The 18,626-nt window shown below is 32.6% G+C and overlaps 1 long non-coding RNA gene across 1 annotated transcript in view, besides 1 other annotated feature; it reads left to right on the top strand.

Annotated features, from left to right (window-relative positions):
- The window catches only part of LINC01414 (long intergenic non-protein coding RNA 1414), a 511,616-nt gene that overhangs the window by 87,737 nt on the left and 405,253 nt on the right, over positions 1–18,626 (top strand). The window lies entirely within an intron of this gene.
- Positions 10,276–10,570: a silencer, noted in NCBI's record as "tiled region #1423; HepG2 Repressive non-DNase unmatched - State 24:Quies". NCBI's record gives its function as "represses a minimal TATA promoter and a strong SV40 promoter by Sharpr-MPRA in HepG2 cells {active_cell/tissue: HepG2}" and the evidence as "EXISTENCE:reporter gene assay evidence [ECO:0000049][PMID:27701403]".

The following is an 18,626-nucleotide window of genomic DNA, read 5'->3' as shown; positions in this document are numbered from 1 at the left end:
TTGAGCGATAATATTTAAAATTCACAAAATACTTACTTCTTCAAATTTTGAGGAGAAATCCATAGAGTATAATAACTATTATTCAAATCAATAAGTACACAATAACTTTCAAGAAAAAGAGAGGCCACAGTGTCTACCTTCAAGGTGCTGCTTACTAGCATGGAGAAGAAGACAAGTAGCATGTCTGTTTTAATATTGGTGTTATAAGTACTTATATACACATACTGGACATAGTTATCTAACAATCCGTACAAAAGCGAAGTGATTGAGTAGTGAAAACATAAGTGACCAGAGTCCAGAATGGACTATTCCATTCTAACAACAATAACTTAATACCTTCTTGGGGTATTTTTGACAAATCCCCATTCATTGTGGTTCTCTGTTTTGTTCATCAACACTCTTCCTAGTTGAAAGGAGATATGAAGAGAAGTGTGACATACACAAGAGCTGAAGTGCAGGAGTTGATAAAATCACAGGTGCACCTATTCTCTTGCCTTTACTTTTCAAGGTTATTTTAAAGGTTACTTTTCAAGGTTACTTTACCTTTCATATAGGTTACTCCCAAGGTCTAGTACTTTCAAGTTTCGAATATAAGCTGTTTTATACTAACTGATAATTTAAGATGGAAACAGTAGAAAAAGGAGTTACCAAAATGCTGAAGAAGAAAAAGAATCGTTAAAGACTAATGGCCTAGAGTGAGTATATTTCATTCATAGCTACATTCACATTAAAATCAAAGGAGTAACTGCATTTAAAAATTTTTAGTGTCTTTAAATTTTTAAATGTACATTATTACATGGATCACTGTGCAATGAGACAAGTATTTAAAGAACTGTAAATTTAGCATAAAGTCCTTTAATTTTTTTCAAGAGTAAGATGTTCTTGGTGCCAAACCCCCAATACCATTAAAAAATGAAAAAAGAAAACCCACAAAATGTCATAACCCTAACAAATCATAATTTTAAATACTTTATAACAAAGGATTTTGATTCCTTTATTGGCAGAAAATTTTTACAATTTCAGGAGAGAAATGTAACCTGAAAAACACTTGCAAAAGAAAAGCCTACCAAATCATTTCTAAGCATGCATGAGATATCAAGCTTTAAATTTTTGGTTATTCATCCTCCACAGAAATTTTAGAGAAAATTGTAGGAAAAAACCCAAAAGGATTATCTCAAGGTGCACAAGGCCAAATTCTAATCTGTTTTAGATCTCATTTATATGTTTATCAAGATTGTGTAATATCTTCTGTGAATAATGGGTGGATGAAAAATTTAATAAGGAAACAGGTTTTATTGTGAAAAAAAGACTAAAAATGGCGTTACCTGGAAATGACATTTGACCTTTATTATTTCAGTTGAAAGAGAAAAAAACTTGTCAAATTGTTCAGAGAAATTAGTTTTTCTCATCTTCTGAAACTTGTGACTGGCTGAATATATAAATTTCTGCTATGCCAAAAATTCCCATGACATCCATGTTACCTATAGTGATTTGGTGAGTCAAGCAGAGCAGTTAACACTGCAGACTATAGGACTGAAAGAGATTAAAGCGGTGAACCCACAGTACTTTATTGACCGAGGTCCCCACATTAACCTGATCTGATCCTGTAATTACTATGAATAGAATAGGGCTTACAGTTCTCCTTAATAACACCGCAGGCTTTTTTATTCTATAAAGAGATTTTCTATTCATGTTCTTTACTCCTTTCCAGATTTACAGATTTGTAGCAAGAAAGAATGTGTGTGGCTTTGCTGACACACCAGGAAAGAAAGATACCTAATGTTCATGGTCAATAAGTGACATGGTTCAAGACATCCAACACAACACAACACATTCTTTTTAACCTAACTTACTTTAAAGTTTTGTCTCATATTTTCAATTTTCCAGTTGCCTCCTGCTCCTTAGGAGTACTAAAAATTGATTTACAAACATTGATTAACTGTGAGGGAAGATTTAGCTTTAAACTTAGGGAATTGTTAAAATACCATAATTTTATAACTTTTTTACTGTAACTCTTAGAGTACATACATTTAAACATATTGAAAACCATTAGCTACTTTAACACAGAATGATAAGTAGTCAGAAAGTTCACATATGTGAGTGAGATACAATGCTATAATTAATAATCAGTATTTTCTTTCAATTTAGAAAAACAGCTGCAGCTAGCAGATAAGGTATATTATAAGAATAAAGTAAAACCTAGCTATTAATAATTATGATTTGGGATAATCCAAAATAGTGATGTAATCATTTCACTTTTAAAAATGGGTTAAAGCCTGTAAGTAGTTAAGAATTAAAAGGTAAATACTGGTTAATGTTAGGAGTTGTAAGTTTAGATTATCACAAAGTCTTTAAAAATATTATAAAGTAAGAATTTGACTTTTATATTAATAGCTTTTAATTTTTATTGCAAGTCTGCAAAAATTAGAAAGCACACCTTTGCCATTCAGAAATGATAAATACGTTTGTGAATGAAGTGAGTGAGTGAGCATGAGAGTAAAACCAAAATGGCTGTTACTCTTGCTAAAAGAAGGAATTCCCATATTAGAGAACTAACTTCACAATACTACAGTCAACATCTCAAGTAAAAATATATTTTGTAAGATTTCTATAATATTATATTTATCAAAAATTTTCTGAAGTGTCAATATGGGTCATTCTTTTCTAAAATAATAAAATAAGACCATTAATATATTTTGTTAGTTAACTGTTTTAAATAAGAATTTTTAAATATTCAAGAAAAAAGCCAAGCTACAAAATAGATTAATACTTTGACAGTTATGGAATAATGGATGGATGACATAACTTCATTTCTTTTTAAAGTTTCTGTTTAGAGCAATTAATACAAGTAGAAGATACCATTAAATATCAGAACCTTGTTTTAAGATCTTTTATCATAATTTTCCCATCTTCCCAAATAGAAGGATTATTATGAGTCAATTTGATTAGCCTGTCAAAAGCCTCTTTCTTTGTGGTATTTTATGAGTGTATGAATAATCTGTATCATGCTTTTAAGAAGTAAGAACTTGAAATTAGGCAGGTTAGTAGTTGGCCAAACAAACTCAGTTTGTTGGTGTTCATTATGAGAGCTATATTGCTTTAGAAATGTCATGTGCATAAATTCCAGTTTAATCATGGAATTCTTTGATGCTATTTTGGTACTTGATGTTTTACTATACTGAGGGAATATTGGTAATGTAACTAATGATACGAATATATTTTAGGTTTAAAATAACTAAGTTAGCAATTAGTTACTTTCAAAAAGTATATGGATGTATTTTATACTTTGCAATAATGTGTACTTGGTAAGAGATTCACAGTGAAACCCCATCTTTTTGGTGGCTATTTTTACCATTAAAATAAAACAGCATTTGGAAACAGTAGGATAGTTTTTATCTGTAGAATTAAAAAGAATCTGAACAGAAAATGGATTCATATCATCTTCTTTTTGGGTACTAAACATAGAAAAATATATAGCAGTTGATTTATTATAAGTGAGGTGAATTTTCTCTCCTGGTGGGCTTTTCAAACCTTTAGTTGCTGTTCTTATCCTTGCTGTGTGAATATCATTTTTATATCACTTTTTGTTAAAAGGAATTTCCATGAAAGCCCCACAAAAGTAGCCTGGAATCTGATTATCTGCTTTTCATGAAAATTTTGATGGGTTTGGGTCAGTATTCCACCTCTGTTCAGATGATTTAATTTGCACCAGGCTCTGTAATGAGGAAATTGTCCACGAATGAGTGTGGGCATTATAGACTTTAGGACCAGAGGGGATTTCTTCTGTAAAACACAAAAGCACAAAAAATGACAATCATAGGAAACCATGCTATTTCAAAAGGCTACAAGTTGGTGAATTTTTATGGTTATAGGAGATGATAATGTAAACATTTTTCCTCTCCATCTTGGAAAAATTAAGTGGAGAAAGAGGTTAGAGGAGAAAAAGTATTTTAAGAAAATTCTTTTATGTACTTACTTTAGGATGTTCAGTTTTTAAAATTTTTTAAATCACATGAATTATCTCTAGTTCAAACCTACTTGTCTTATTAAGAAAGAAGCTAGAATGTGATTAGGGCCTTTGAGTTGGGCATCAGAATAAATAAATGTATTTTAAAATGCAATTATTATTGCATTTTAATGCCATTAATGTAATTTTTAAACAATAAATTTGTATTTTGTATAATCACTCACAGAGTCCATTATAATAATGTTTGGTTGGAATATATACTGTGAGTCATAATAATTTTAACTTAGACTTTAGAGTGATATTGACTATAGGCAAAGATTTTACCATTTGTTTTAGAAAAAAATGGCAGCTTTTAAAGGCTTGCTTCTTCACAGCTATAAATATTTTGTTTTAGTAATCTAATATATAATACTCTGCATTATGCCACAAAATATAGAAACTTTGTTCTGTTGTTAACTTAGTGCTATTTTTAATTGGTTTATGTTTTCCTATCATGAAAAATTATATTAAAATTATTTAATTTATATAATTGCACTCAGTAGGAAGTTTAGCAGATTTGACATTAGAGATAATAAAAGAGGGCTATCAACTAAGCTATTTTCTTTCCAAATATAAACTAAAGTAGTGAGATTCATAAGTTTACAGTCAGAGAACAAAGTCTTATTCTTGCAGTGAATTAGCTTTTGATTTAAAAATTATGTAAAAAGACATAAATTTTTTAATTTTTCTATGTAAGAATACTCTGCATTTTTATTTTATTATAAATTTGTATTTCAGAGTTGGCTGTAGGGGATGTATGGAAATGGCAGTTAAACACTCATGGAGAGGTTCAATTTTATTTCAAAAATTGCTGTAATTTACCCTTCCTTCTTTCATTCCTTCCTTCCTTCCTTCCTTCCCTCCTTCCTTTCTTACTTCCCTTCTTCCTTCCTTCCTCTGAAATATATATTTACTATATAGGCTGCACGAAGTAAGATTTTTTTACTTTTATACTGCTACTATTTTTATTCATTATAACATTGATCTGTTGGAAAAGGAAAACATTTGAAAACATTTAAAAACATTTATTTCCTCTATGGTAAAAAAATCTTATGTCTTCCTTTTAAAAGAAAAATATTAAGCCAGATTAGAAGTAAAAAACTTAATACAACCTGACTATTTTGAATGGTGCAGGTAAAACTAAAAATTGAATTAAAAATGAGGATACACAACAGCGACAACAAAACACATTAACTGAATTCAAGAAGGGTCTTCTTACACATTAGTATTGATTGCTGCTTTGCATTACTTATGCAGAATTAATGGTGGCTTTTGCCATGTTCTAGATAATTCCTCTCTTTGGGTTTGATATGCATGATAAGAGGATAAATTGTACATGTGACCTTGGACAAAATTCAGGGCTGTAGGACATAAGCAGAGCTTCCATTTTCTAGCTTTTCATCCTGTATTTCTTTCATAGGTCATCAAATACAGGCATGTCAGAATTCTGAAAAACAAAGTAAATGTATGTTTTTTTTTTTCTCCCTGAGGTCAGTTGCATTCCTTATATTATTGGAGAACTTTAGTTAAAGCAAATTTTCCTATTGATACACAGTATGTATAATTCTGTGTGTACATATGTGTCTAAATTAGCCATAAGTTTCTAAGGAGGCCCTTTCAGAAAGGTTACAATATATGTATGTTACATACCTATTTGAACAAGTCTGTTATTAGTAGCTTAGTATATGAAATTAGGGCTGTGGTCATGATTTTTGAAAGATTACAAATAGTTGCATCTTACTGAGTACCTTCTCTGTGTTGTGTACTTTTCATACATTTACTCCTAAATTCTAAACATGTACATCTTTATTTTATAAGGGAAATTAAGGCTCAGAGAGGTTAAGTGATTTGCCAAAGGTAATGCAACCAATAAATGTAAGATGGAATTTTTAACCCATGTCCATTTGAATATACTCACCCTTTTTATCCCAGCATTTGGATAAAGATTTAAACTTTACAAAGCATCATGACATAAAAGATTCCAAGCTCATGAGTTGTAATAGAACAAAAAATTTCTAAAATGCTTAAAAAGCAAATGAATTTAATGGCATTTGGGGTAGCTCCACACTAGATGCGTTGACAAGGAATAAATGCATATTATTTTACATTCCATAGAAAGGCTTTAAACAGGATGCAAAATCCACATATTTTATTCAATGTAAGTGGCCTATTGGGCATAAGTGTTTCAAATGTAGTCTTCTATTTACAAATCAGAACCAAGCACTGGATAATGTATGACGAATGGGATTAGAAAGGAAATATTAAGGATCCTCTCTTGATTTTTTGTTCTAAAAAAATGGCAAAACTCCATTTGCACATATAAATTGCCAGGAGGGTTGAGAATACGTAGATTGTGTATGTTTTTGAGACTTTTTGGAGTTTATTTTCTATCAAATACGTATCCCCCTACTTTTTTCAATAATGAAATATATTTATACTAGTTTATTTAATACTATTATTAAATTATAGAATTATTTTTAAATTTTAATGCAAACAATTTTGTTTAGCTTCCACTCTCTGGAATGGACTGGGAGATCTTTTTTAAAAAAAGATAATTTTAATTTTCTGCTTTTTTTTTTTTTTTGCTGGATGTTCCAAAGATGCAATGTTGGTATTATAAATATACTATATATTTAATAATGTTTGGAGAAAAAAATCAGTGTTAGCTTTTGAAGACAAAGGTGCCATGAAGCTCCTTAGTTTTTGTCTGGTCATTCTATCAGCTGTCAGAAGGTGGGTGGGTTGGATGAAGGAAAGTTAATCACAAAGTATTCAGATACCCCAAATTTTCATTATAAGTAACACAAGTGAAATGGCTAAGGGATCCAGGTCCAAAGTCTAATAAACCAAATTATTTTAAATGAATTGTAAGATTTCATATTTTCAGTGACAGTAGCAAATGACTGTGCTTTCCCAGCAATTTATTCAAATTATTAATAGAAAAATGAACACTCCGGGGACAGAGTCTGGGTACAGTTCTTTATCAGAAGGTAATCTTTCATGGCCAGACATTACATTATCTTTTACCTTTGTAGTGCTCTTGACAAATATGTTTCACCTAAATTTAGTTGTTAAGAAAAACAATTGGAAGAAATTTAAATTGTGGGACATTTAAACAACTGACATGGGTTCTTCAAAAATTTCAGTGCATAGAAGACACATGCTGAGGAACTGTTCTAGATGAAAGGTGAATAAAAAGACATACAGCTAAATGCAAAGTGTGGTCCATAACCTTTGACTGAATTCAGATTATCTCCTCTCAAGTAAATTATAAAAGACATTATCAAGAGAACTGGAGAAATTTTACATATGGACTTTATAACAGAGAATGCTATTGCAACCATGTTAAATTTATTGTGAGTGATAATGGTATTGTAGTTTATGTAGAAGAATGCCCTGGCTCTTTGGAGGCACACGCTAAAGTATGTAGGGGTGAAATGTCATGATGTTTGCAGCTTAAGTTCAAATGGTTCAGTGTAAGAAAACGTGTTTTAGGTTAAAACATGATTTTGCCAATATTCATTATTTTGGACAGAGAGAGAAAAAAACAAATGTGGCAAAAATGTTAACAACTGTCAAATTAAGTGAAGGACGCATGAATGTTTGCTATGCTATTTCAAATTTTCTATAGCTTTGAAGTTTTTTGAATAAGTTTGAAAAAAGGTTACATTTATTCCTTACATTAGTGAGCTATAAAAATGATTTAGTTGAAATTGGCATACTGTACTCAATGTACACAGCTAATTCCTATTACCCAAGCCAAATAAAACCTCTTCATTCACAGTCACGGGGTTTAATGCTCAAATTATCCAAATAATTGCTCTATGGATTCACGTAACTTTTACAGAAAATAGCACTTATGGCTTATTCATCAGAAAACCATTTTGAAGTGTAGCTTGTAGTTCCAACTATAGGAGTATCCTTTGGTGTATTAATGGGGACATATTCTTATAGAACTCAAAAACTCTACTGGTTTGGTTAGTTTAGCAATGGCAAATTTAAATACTAATCTTACTTTAAAATTCTGCAGACGAAAATGTTTGTGGTTAAAGTATCTTCATTATACAAATTGAAATGTAGTATTTTCCAGATTAATATAAAATGTATTGAGAAATAATCAATATTTAAGTAATCCAGTAGGATTTTACATTTCATATTACCTAAAAGTCCTGATTTTAAATCCCTGTAAGTAAATTTGCATTTACTTGATTGTGAATTCTCTGCCCTATATTGCAGTGAAATACAAGCTGCAATGAATAGGCCCTAAGTACCAGTCTACAGGATTGCAGAAGATGCCCCTGGTGTATGTATCAGGTTGGGAATTTGTTTTGTGGTGATCACCCTTTCTGATTGGAAGATTGCATGACAAGGAACTATTAAAGTAAAGGGCAAAGAATTCAATTCCTTGATGTCGCTTTTCTTGGACAGGCTTTATAAATAGGTCATTTAATGTTATCTGGATTTGTGTATTACAGCAGCACCTGCTAACGCTGCTATGTTTAAGGGTCTATCAGAGTTTTCGTTTTCAGGGTTTCTAGACAGTATTTTGATACTCTAAACCTAAATATGCTTCCATTCAAATGGTAGCGAACAAGATCTGCAGGAGAATGCATATTTCTTTTATTATACTGCAATTAAAAAATGAATGTTTGCTTTAATATTCGCTAAGAGGTGAAAAACGAAAACATGAGATTAAAAAATCATCCTAACATTGGATAACTTAACATTTGGTTCTTTTAAGAAGGATCTATGAATTGTGCATTAGATATCTACTTAAAGATCCATTAAAATGGTAATTACAAGTTTCTGAAATTTTTGTGTTTTATTTTAATCATGAACATATTAATGTGCTACCTTTTAGCTATTGTTAAATTTCACTTCTTAAATGTGTCTAGCTAAGGCTTTTTAGAATGGGCAATTATGTTTTATTAACATGTGCTATTCTACTAATATAAAGATAATGCCACTAATACTGCGTGTATGCATCTACACATAGAGAGTTTTTATATACTAGGATTTCACTCAAGAAATATTTTGTCTGACATATCTGCACATAAGCCTATTAAGTGATATATCATAAAAATAGTAAGAATCAGTTTTGACGTAAATATTAAAACCAGATAACTGATTTAAACACTAGACACCACCTATGCCTTTCTTAAAATTTTACGAATTTCTGTGTTAACACAGCTGTATTTCAGCAATTTATATAAGTACAGAAATAAATTTGATACATGTTTCATTTTGTGGATTCATAATTATTTTAAAAACTCCAAAAGCTACAAATAAAAAGGTGACCATTCTATATGGTAGAGCAAAACTACTGTAATACCACTAGAATCTGATTAAATATAATAAAACCTGCTTTTTTGCTTGCCTGCTAGTGAGTTTTATATCATGTAAATTAGCAAGTGGTTACAGTGCCCTTAAATAAAGTACTAATTTTTAGTGATAATCTTAGCTTTCTATGAAGAAGTATCCTATCTCCAAATAAGAAACTGGAATATTAGAATAAGAAAAGTAAGTGATTATTATTTTGGGGATGTTAAGCCTATATTTGCAAAAACTGTGGGCACCTAATGCTATATTGCAAGCTATTCCTCAGTTAATAATATTGTATCTGTGCATTAAGAGTTCCTTTTATGTAATAAATTTATCAGATATTGTGATAGCAAGGATTCTTGAAATATTTCGGCTCACCAGGGTTGGAAAAAAATTAGTTTGAAAAAAGTGTCGGCAATAGTTTTCCTACCTCTCTTTGCTTGAGTTTTCTTCTTAAGGACTTTGATATTGGGATCGCATCCTGCAATATTTAAGCTTGATGGGATGAGTTAAGGATAGGGGCTTAAGATGGCTTAACTGTCATTTCTGCTTACATTTTAAAGACTTGGATCGGTGTCATCAGAGCCATCTTTGTAGTCTTGCCTGAAACAACGGAAAATATTAGAAATACAGATGGAACTTTGGGATGAGTCCATACTTTACATGTTAGGTTAATTTATATTTTGGCTAAGTTGCTTGTTTCATACAAAGGTTTCTATGGGCATTGATTTTTTTTCTTTTTATTGACATTAAATGAGAAAGCAAAAAAAAATTTTTCTCGAAAGCCAATGGTTTTCTAGGTAAATGAGTTCAGACTTAATTTTAATGGAAGTGAAACATAGTCAATAGAGGCAAATTAAAACCATATAATTTTGTAATCTTAGTTTAGCTATAATTGCAGCAATAAAACAGTGGAAAGAATAATTGTGGAACATATGTTTGTGAGTGACATTATCTAGGTGACTTCCCCTTTACGGCAATGTGCTGTCCTATTTGTTTCCCCTCTCTATGTATTGGAATGACAAACCTGCAAGCCCGGAGTTAATGCTGATTGCAGCAGCTGCTTACACATGGAGTCTCCATAGCAACTGTGAAGGTTGCCATGCAACCATATTCTTTTAGGGACAGTGAAAATGCCCAAAGGCTTACTAAAAATACACGGGGAAAAAATCTGAAATTTTCTTACTACTTTTAGTGGTTATAAAGAACTATGATACAAGTTGAAAGCACAGGTCAAGCAAATAAAAACCCAGCGCTGACCTTTCAAAAATTGCTTGCTGTTGCCTGAAATCTCAAGCTTTATTCACAGAGATGACTTTTGATCGATTGTAAAATTGGTAGCTTATGCTAGGCAGCCCTCAAAGAAGGGAAGATTCAGTATGGTGCTATTGGTATTCCTCGTGGGGTTAAAGGTCAGTAGAAAGTCATCAATGCAATATTGATTGGTGGGGCTGAAAAATGCCCATGTTTACACCTTCTCACTGCTTAGGGTTGCGTACCAAACCTTAAGAAGACTCATGCAGCCTCTGAGCGTGCTCTGGAACAAACCATTCCATCAGCAAATGTGACATCACTTCAGTCAGCTCAGCTGTTTCTTCAGCTTTCTATAAATAGCTAGATAAAAAATTGAAGACTACTTGCAGAGAATTTGGCCAACCAGTCTGCTTATTCGAATCATTTAAGATAGGCTAGGATTCTGGTTTTTAAACATCTTCAGTTGTTACTGATGTTTTTCAATATAAATTGTTATTTTAATAGCAGAATCCTTTTTAGTATACATATAAAATGTGCTGATGTATATGTAACTTTATTATAGTGCAACCCTTTTAAAAAATTGAACAGGCATTGGCCAGCATCTAATGGGGTAGGCTGTCATAACATCTGATCATACATGTTCACATACATATAGATTTCTTGAGATCATCTAATTTATTACTTTAGCAACACAAATTTAGTGAATAAATAATAATATGTCAGACAAGATGGCTATTATCAAATTATAATACTGTAAGGTTTTAAAAAATCAGCTAACGTAATAACAAAGGTATTAATATTTGAAAAGAATAAACAAAGAATGTACATGAATTTTCTTTAGTCATATTTCACATGTAATCAGTCATATTCTAACATTTACTATGAAATTTTCTCAGATGGTTGTGCATTTATATTTAAAATGAATCTATTCCCCTAAATATACTCTGAAATTGCAGACTCTATTAGACTAATAACAATACAATGTTCTGTTATTGAGGCATTTCTCAATTTTCCATAGATTTTGTGCCAGTAAAGATGATAGCAAGTTACCCAGGTCATTGTAATGAAGAAGTTTAGTACTTCAGATAGTCAAGACAGACTTCTTTGAAAGCTATTATAGGCTGTGTCTACAATTTAACAAAAATATGTGGTTAGCTCACTTAACGTAGTTAAAGGAGTACATGAATGCATTGTTTCCAAGGCTTCAAAAATCCAGACTAACCTAAGATGTGAATATAATATGTATGCCTGGAAAATAGGATAAACCTTCATCAGTTTGAAGCATCCTTAAGAACAGTAAAGAACACCCATCTAGTAGGAAAAGCTCGTGCTACAAACCAGCTAATTTCTTACTGTCATCTCGGGTATTTTTGTTATTGTTGCCAGTAGCTTGTGTTTTTAAAATACTTGCATCCCCTCCATTAGGAAAGATTATGGTGAGCAACCTAAATTTTATCTAAATCTACTCTCTTCTTAAAATCATGAACCAGGTATACTAGAGTATTAACATGCTTTTTCTGTTTAGTATTTCTCCTTAATTGATAATTCATAAAGATGATTGCAAGTGACGTTAAATTAGTGACTGAATTGAAATCTAGATTTGTTTTTAAATAAATATTTACCTTATTATTTCAGCAGACAATACCTAGAACCAGACCTGAAAGTAATCTATAGTACAGTGATCTGAAATGAAAGTTTTTTGAAAAATTATTATAAAATTTAATATGTAAAAAATTAATAACCATTAGATTTGATACCAAGTTGCATGAACACAACTAATACTTTTCAAAATTTAGAAGTACTTAAATTAACATTACTTAAGCAAACTGTAAACATGCAGATATAAACTATACAATAAGCAGTATGAATGATCTCTAGAGCAGAACTCTAGGCTTATATTCCACTATGCTGCTATTTCTTAAACTTCATATCTTATGATATAAATGGAAACATGATTTAGCATGCAAACAAAAAAAAATTAAATTAGTATTGTTACATCACTATCTCCCCCATTCTGGTATTCGGAAAGCATGAGAGAAAACTGTGCTAGTTTTATGATGACTTTCTTTTTCACAGCTGTTTGATATGTATTAAAACTACATATTTATATTTCATTTTAATTTGGCTTGGTTTGAAATTTGAATCTTTGTCAGGGAGCAGTTTTGAATTTGCATTCCATAGCCTGTTAATAAATTTAAGGATATAGGTAGACTATTTTCACTAGATTTGATAGGAGAGCCTCTTTCTGAGTATGTGCAGATTTCTAAAATGTTCTGAGTTTTTAAGATTATGATAATTAAAATTTTTTTGAGGAGCCATCCTAAAATAGTGGGAAGAATTTTGTGCAGATTTTATTTGAAAACTGAATAGAATAAGAGTATATAACTATGGCTATAGCTTTATTTAATTCATCTCAAAATACCCCTACATGTTCATCTTTGCTCAAATGTGATACCACGGCTAAAATTACACTTAATTTTTGAGCATCTGTTCAATGTGCTCTCAAGTTTTAAAAAATAAGCATTTAATAGCTTGGAAAGAGAAATTCCTAATAACAAGATACAATTGTTTATTAAAACATAACAAAATGCATTTTTTAAAAAATTGTGTAATCCTATTTTAGCATAGTATGTCTCAGGGCATTATCAACACTCTAAAAAAGCCAAACTTGAAAAAAATCTTTTTTTAGCTTTTTTTTTTTTCTTTAGGACAGCCAACCATTAAATCTCACGAGTAATGTTGGAAAGATCTGGTTGTGTGCATAGATTGCTCTTTACCCAGGATGCACTTCTGTCTACAAGATTCTGAATAGAGACACACCTGCTAGCTAGCTGATAACACTCTGGGGTCATTTCATTGAAGAAACTGTCAGCCAGGAGGTACTTAAAATAAAGCCACAGACAAAATCATGACCTACACTGTTGAGACTAAAAAGGTGTAAAAGCAGAAAGGAAATGTAGATAAATGCACATTCCTTTGTACCATAACAAAACTTTTACATGTAAATTCAACTGAATAGGAAAGAATGGGGAAGAATGTTTCCCTCTACAGTAGAAACAAATTAGATTGTTCAGCTGCACATTTGGCTCTCCTCCAAAGGAGTCGTGTGCCATGCTTGTTTGCCTACCAGTGCTGCTTAGATTGGCAAATGCCCATGCAGTTTGAAGAGGGCAGGCGGATGACTGGATGCCTGCCAGGAAGTGTGTGGGCCTGATGCCACTGCTGGACTCCATAGCCTGGTAGGAATGAGGAGTACAAAGGCATTCAATAATCTGAATGTCCCTTTGCTTCAAGAGAGTGGTGCCAGGCAGCTTTTAATGAGAGATTGCTTTGTTACAAAGTCCTCAACATCAAGTGGGCTGGTGAGCTCATTAACCTGACTGCAGCAAATAAAAAAGGCACACTCAGAAGACTCCCATGATAGCCTACTCAATGGTGTAAGAGCCCTTTTGCTTCCTTTATGGTGATCCATTAGCAAGCAGCAGTGTAAACACCATAAAGCAAGCCAGGTTTCTGATTGTTCAACTAAAGTCTGTTTCCCCTTGGGGATTATACCACCAGTTGATATAGGATTTTTCCTCTTAAGGTTTCCATCTACTATATAATGACCTTCTTTGCAATGAAGGATTTTGGGGGTTGCTCTTAATGGCATAGCTCCGGTTAAGGAAACATGAACTGTTCAGGTGTCTGAAAGAAGGTAATGATGTAGGACATACAGAGAAACAAACTACAAAGTGGAGTGATCCCAAGGGGAATCTTGCCAGTGCACTTCTGAAGCCCAAAATGGTGAACACATTACATTACTTTTCTATGTTCCCTTTATTTTTAGCTTTCATGGGGCTTTACATTTGTACAGGAGGTAGGCCACCCCTGCAGTCAGGAGATAGTTAGTTCACTGAGCATCTGTCTCTGAGTGCTGCTCTGACTCTCTAGGGATCACATTACTCTGCAAAGGCTCTCCAGCAAAGATTCATTTCTCCTCCATTTGAAACATATTTGATGGTTGATTGTGCAAAAATTCAACTTGCAGCATCTAAACAGGATGCTATAAAATAAGTGTTTTTTTTTTAATTGTCAAACTAGAAAGGCAAAGGAAGACCAAAAAGAAAAGACAAACTATTTCAACATTACGTCTTTAGAAATCTAGAGGCCATCTGTTGCTTTGTTACATGTCCAGTTACTAATCTGGGGATATCAGACTGGGGGAGTGTATGACTTTAGGGACTGGTTTGAAGACCAGAAAGTAAAAAGCCTGTTACTTTCAGGTCACCAGTTCAAATCCAGAACTAGTCACTGATGAGTGCTGGTCATTGTCTTTTGATTGATACTTGATGATCAAAATAAAATGTGTTAATTGTCTTGGATATATATTTAGTTGACATATGACTGTAGTCATCAAAATTACTATCCATACTTGCAATATAATATGGACATGGAAGTCATTGTTTTTGTTTTCTCAATAGTCATTTTGGAAAAAGTATCAAGTTTAGCTGTGATGGAACCATGTGTGAGACTGTTCTGGCACTTTGTTAATGTTTTAAAAAATAGAATATGTCAATTTGACTTATACATATTTCTGAGTGAAAGATGATGCTATGACTAGTGAATTGAATGAACAGGGAAGAAATAATAAAATTGCCATATATTTTAATAACATTGAGTCCATTCATTTGATCATACAAAGCAAAAGCAGCTCTCTACATTACTTTCCCATTTTGTATAAAGAATGAACTGTTTTAAAAAAAGATTATTGTCTTTATTTGTATATGAATGACTTAAAAATTAATTACCTTTTAATTAATTTAGGTCTAATACATATATCTATATGTAGAATGAATATTTATGCATATAGATACACATAAAGATATCTATATCTTTATATGTATATATACAGATAGAAAGGTCAAGTTAAAAATATCCATGACTTTATTTTGAACTGGTTTCCTGTTTAAGTTAAAATGGGAAGTATATAATGAGAAAAGTACCCTTCATTGGGATAAGGGAAATGGATTTTTAAAGGTATGGTTAGGCCACTAGAATGTCAGAAAGGCTTACTAAATATTTTAGAAGTCTTTTTCTGGTTGGGGAGTTTTTGGAGGGGAGCCACCGCAATTTATTTTTGTCTCATTCATCTTTGTTTTCCTCATGGTATTTCTTGTAGTGGTTTACAAAATACATTTAAAAGTTTATTTAATTTATTGTATAGAGATTTCTAAGCAGGAAGATAGAATCACATAGTAGAAAAAGCAAGAATTTTGAAGCAATGCAACCCTGGGTTATAATTCCATCTTCTATTCTCATGAGTTCTGTGTCCTTGGACGGGTTAGTTGATTTCTCTAAGCCTCAGATTCTTCACATATAAAATAGACAGGAATGCTTGCCTCATAGGAGATTAAAGGGCTCAGCATCTGAAAAGTAATGTGAACACTGCTGGTACAGAGTAGGTGGTATTGTTACTGTTATTTCAGTAACATTGCTATTTTGAGCTTTTGTTCATTCCTCCATCCTGTTTTTGTTGAATATCTATCATCCTAGGATCATTTTATTAAGCCATGCCCAGTGATTTCCATGTGATACCTTATATTAGAATTATAAAAAAAAGATGCTCTATTCCCCACAAAAAGTAACCATAGGATTTGATGCAGACAGCTTATTGATCTACCCTCTCTCACCAACAGTAGATAGCTGAAAATCTAAGAAGAAAGTAAATCCCTTTTTAAGCTCCACAGCATGCCCCGTACAGGAACTAGATATCAACATTCTTTTTATTTTAAAAGCAGTTAAAAATTATAACGACTTCTTTTGGTATTGTGCACTATAAAAGTAGGCCAAAGACAAACATTCCACTAGGAGGCAGCACAATGTTGTGAGAAGATCCAGGACTTTGAGGTCAGACAGACGTGGGTTCAAATCAGTCCGGTCATTGTATTTTGCTCCCTGTAAGGCTCCTTTTCTTGCATCCAGGGAGTGGGAACAAGGTTTTCTTTGAAGAATTATGGTTAGGATGCGTGAAATAGCAATGAACAATGCCAGGCACCTGCAAGGCAATTTTATCAGTAGTTGTTCCCTGGCACCTTACTGCTAAAGCTGCAGATGAAGTTGGAGCGTTGAGGACTGGAGAGGACTTGGAGAGCTGCCCAGCAGCTGTGAGAGTGTGTGGTGAAAGGGTAGTAGAGAATGTGACTCGGCAAACGGCTGGGAATATCAGAGGGCAACAGATTGGAATAGCGTGGAGTGGGGAAAGAAAAGCAAGCGCTTCTTCTTGAATGTAAGCTGAGTCAATAAGAGACGGTTCAGGCTTTGCTGTGCAGTGGAACTTCAATATGGCTGATCAGGGATAGAAAAATAAGCATAGAATTATTTATCATGACATGAAACGATCTAGTCCAAGAAACCATCCTTTCTTGGTTAGGCTGCTGCTGTAATGTCTGTGCTGGCCTCACTTAATCTGTTCTTGCGCCTTTTAAATCTCTTTTCCAAACTGAAACTGGATATTTTTCCCAAAAACACATATTCCTAATACTGTTATCTAGACTTCCTTATTCTAATTCTCCTGGCCTGACTCAGAGTTCTTTGGAGGTATCAAGGGGTAGGAGGAACATTCAAAAGGAGAAGTGACCACAATTGCTATAGTCTAAGTCAGTGAACAAAAGCCACCAGGTGAATAAATGCCATTTTCTTTTTGCCTAGACATTGTTCATTTACTGAAAATGAACAAGGTAATGCTCAGCATACAAAAAAAAATTAAAGTTCTCAAGATCCCATGCTTTCTGGATTCCTCTGTATTTATCACTCAAGTCATCCCCCTTTTTGTAATCTCGCTTTTTGTCCTCGCTTTATTTAAATCCTTTATATCACTACCCCCAACTCCTCTCCATGTGAATCTCACAAGACCACACATTACTTTAGCCCTGATTATTAGTTATGCATTTGCATATGTGTTTGCTCATTATAATGTTATTGGCTTGAAGAGCAGATCTTGTAACAGAAGTTATCAGGAGTGACCCTGTGCATTTCCTTTTAGTTGCAGTCTTTTCTCAACTTGGAGCTGTCATTTTTGTCATTGCAAAAAAATCTTCCTTTTTTGGCTCACCTCACTAATGCCTTCATATATTTGTGCACCGAGATACATTCTCCTAAATGCACCAAGTTAGCTTTATAGTTCTGCTAACATTACACAAAAATATTGCCAAGCGTTAAAAAAATGATTGTATCATTACAAACTATCCAAATAGATAAGCTCAATTTGGCGTCCCTATTTGTTATAAGACCCCCCTAACATACTATGATGCTATTTGTCTCCAAATCTTCTTTCCACGAATAACCTATATGCATACTTAAATATAATACAACCATAAACTGTCTAGATATAGCTCTCCATGCTTTGTGTGCTAGCAGAGCCTCTCAGCCAATACGAGCTAGGGTGACAGTTTGTGCTAGACTTACTCTCTCTGCCAATGAATGTCAGTGTACCATCCTGCAAATGCTTTCAATTTCAGTCTCTCTTTTGTCATTATTGTATGTTCCTGCGAATATTTTTTACTTAGGATGGCTGCCAGAAAATGTAATGAATCTGCCCACCCCCAAAAAACACAAACAAGGAATATCTTACCAAGCATAAAAATTAATTTTTGCAAATGGTTGAAGAAACTTAATGAAATGGTAAGAAAAGCCGGGTAAAGATCGCAGACAATTAAGGACTAGGGCTTTGGCATTATAAAGTTCATTAAAAACATCAGCGCAACATGGAAGTAATGACCAATTTTTTTTCATGCCCGGCTAATTTTTTTTTTTGTATTTCCACTGATTTTCTTTATTTTAAAATTTTAAATTAACATATAAACATTCTATATATTTTTGGTGTACAACATGTTTTGATAAATGCACACACTGTAGGATGGCTAAATCAAGTTAATTAACATATGCATGATCACAGATACAATTTTTAGTGGTGAGGATACTTAAAATCTCTCAGTAATTTTCAAGTATATAATATATTATTATTATTATTTTATATATATTTTTATTATACTTTAAGTTCTAG

This window comes from Homo sapiens, chromosome 8 (genome assembly GCF_000001405.40).
Source record: "Homo sapiens chromosome 8, GRCh38.p14 Primary Assembly".
Classification (NCBI taxonomy): domain Eukaryota; kingdom Metazoa; phylum Chordata; class Mammalia; order Primates; family Hominidae; genus Homo; species Homo sapiens.
Note: the sequence above shows the minus strand (reverse complement) of the source record. Positions and strands in the feature narration are given on the sequence as shown.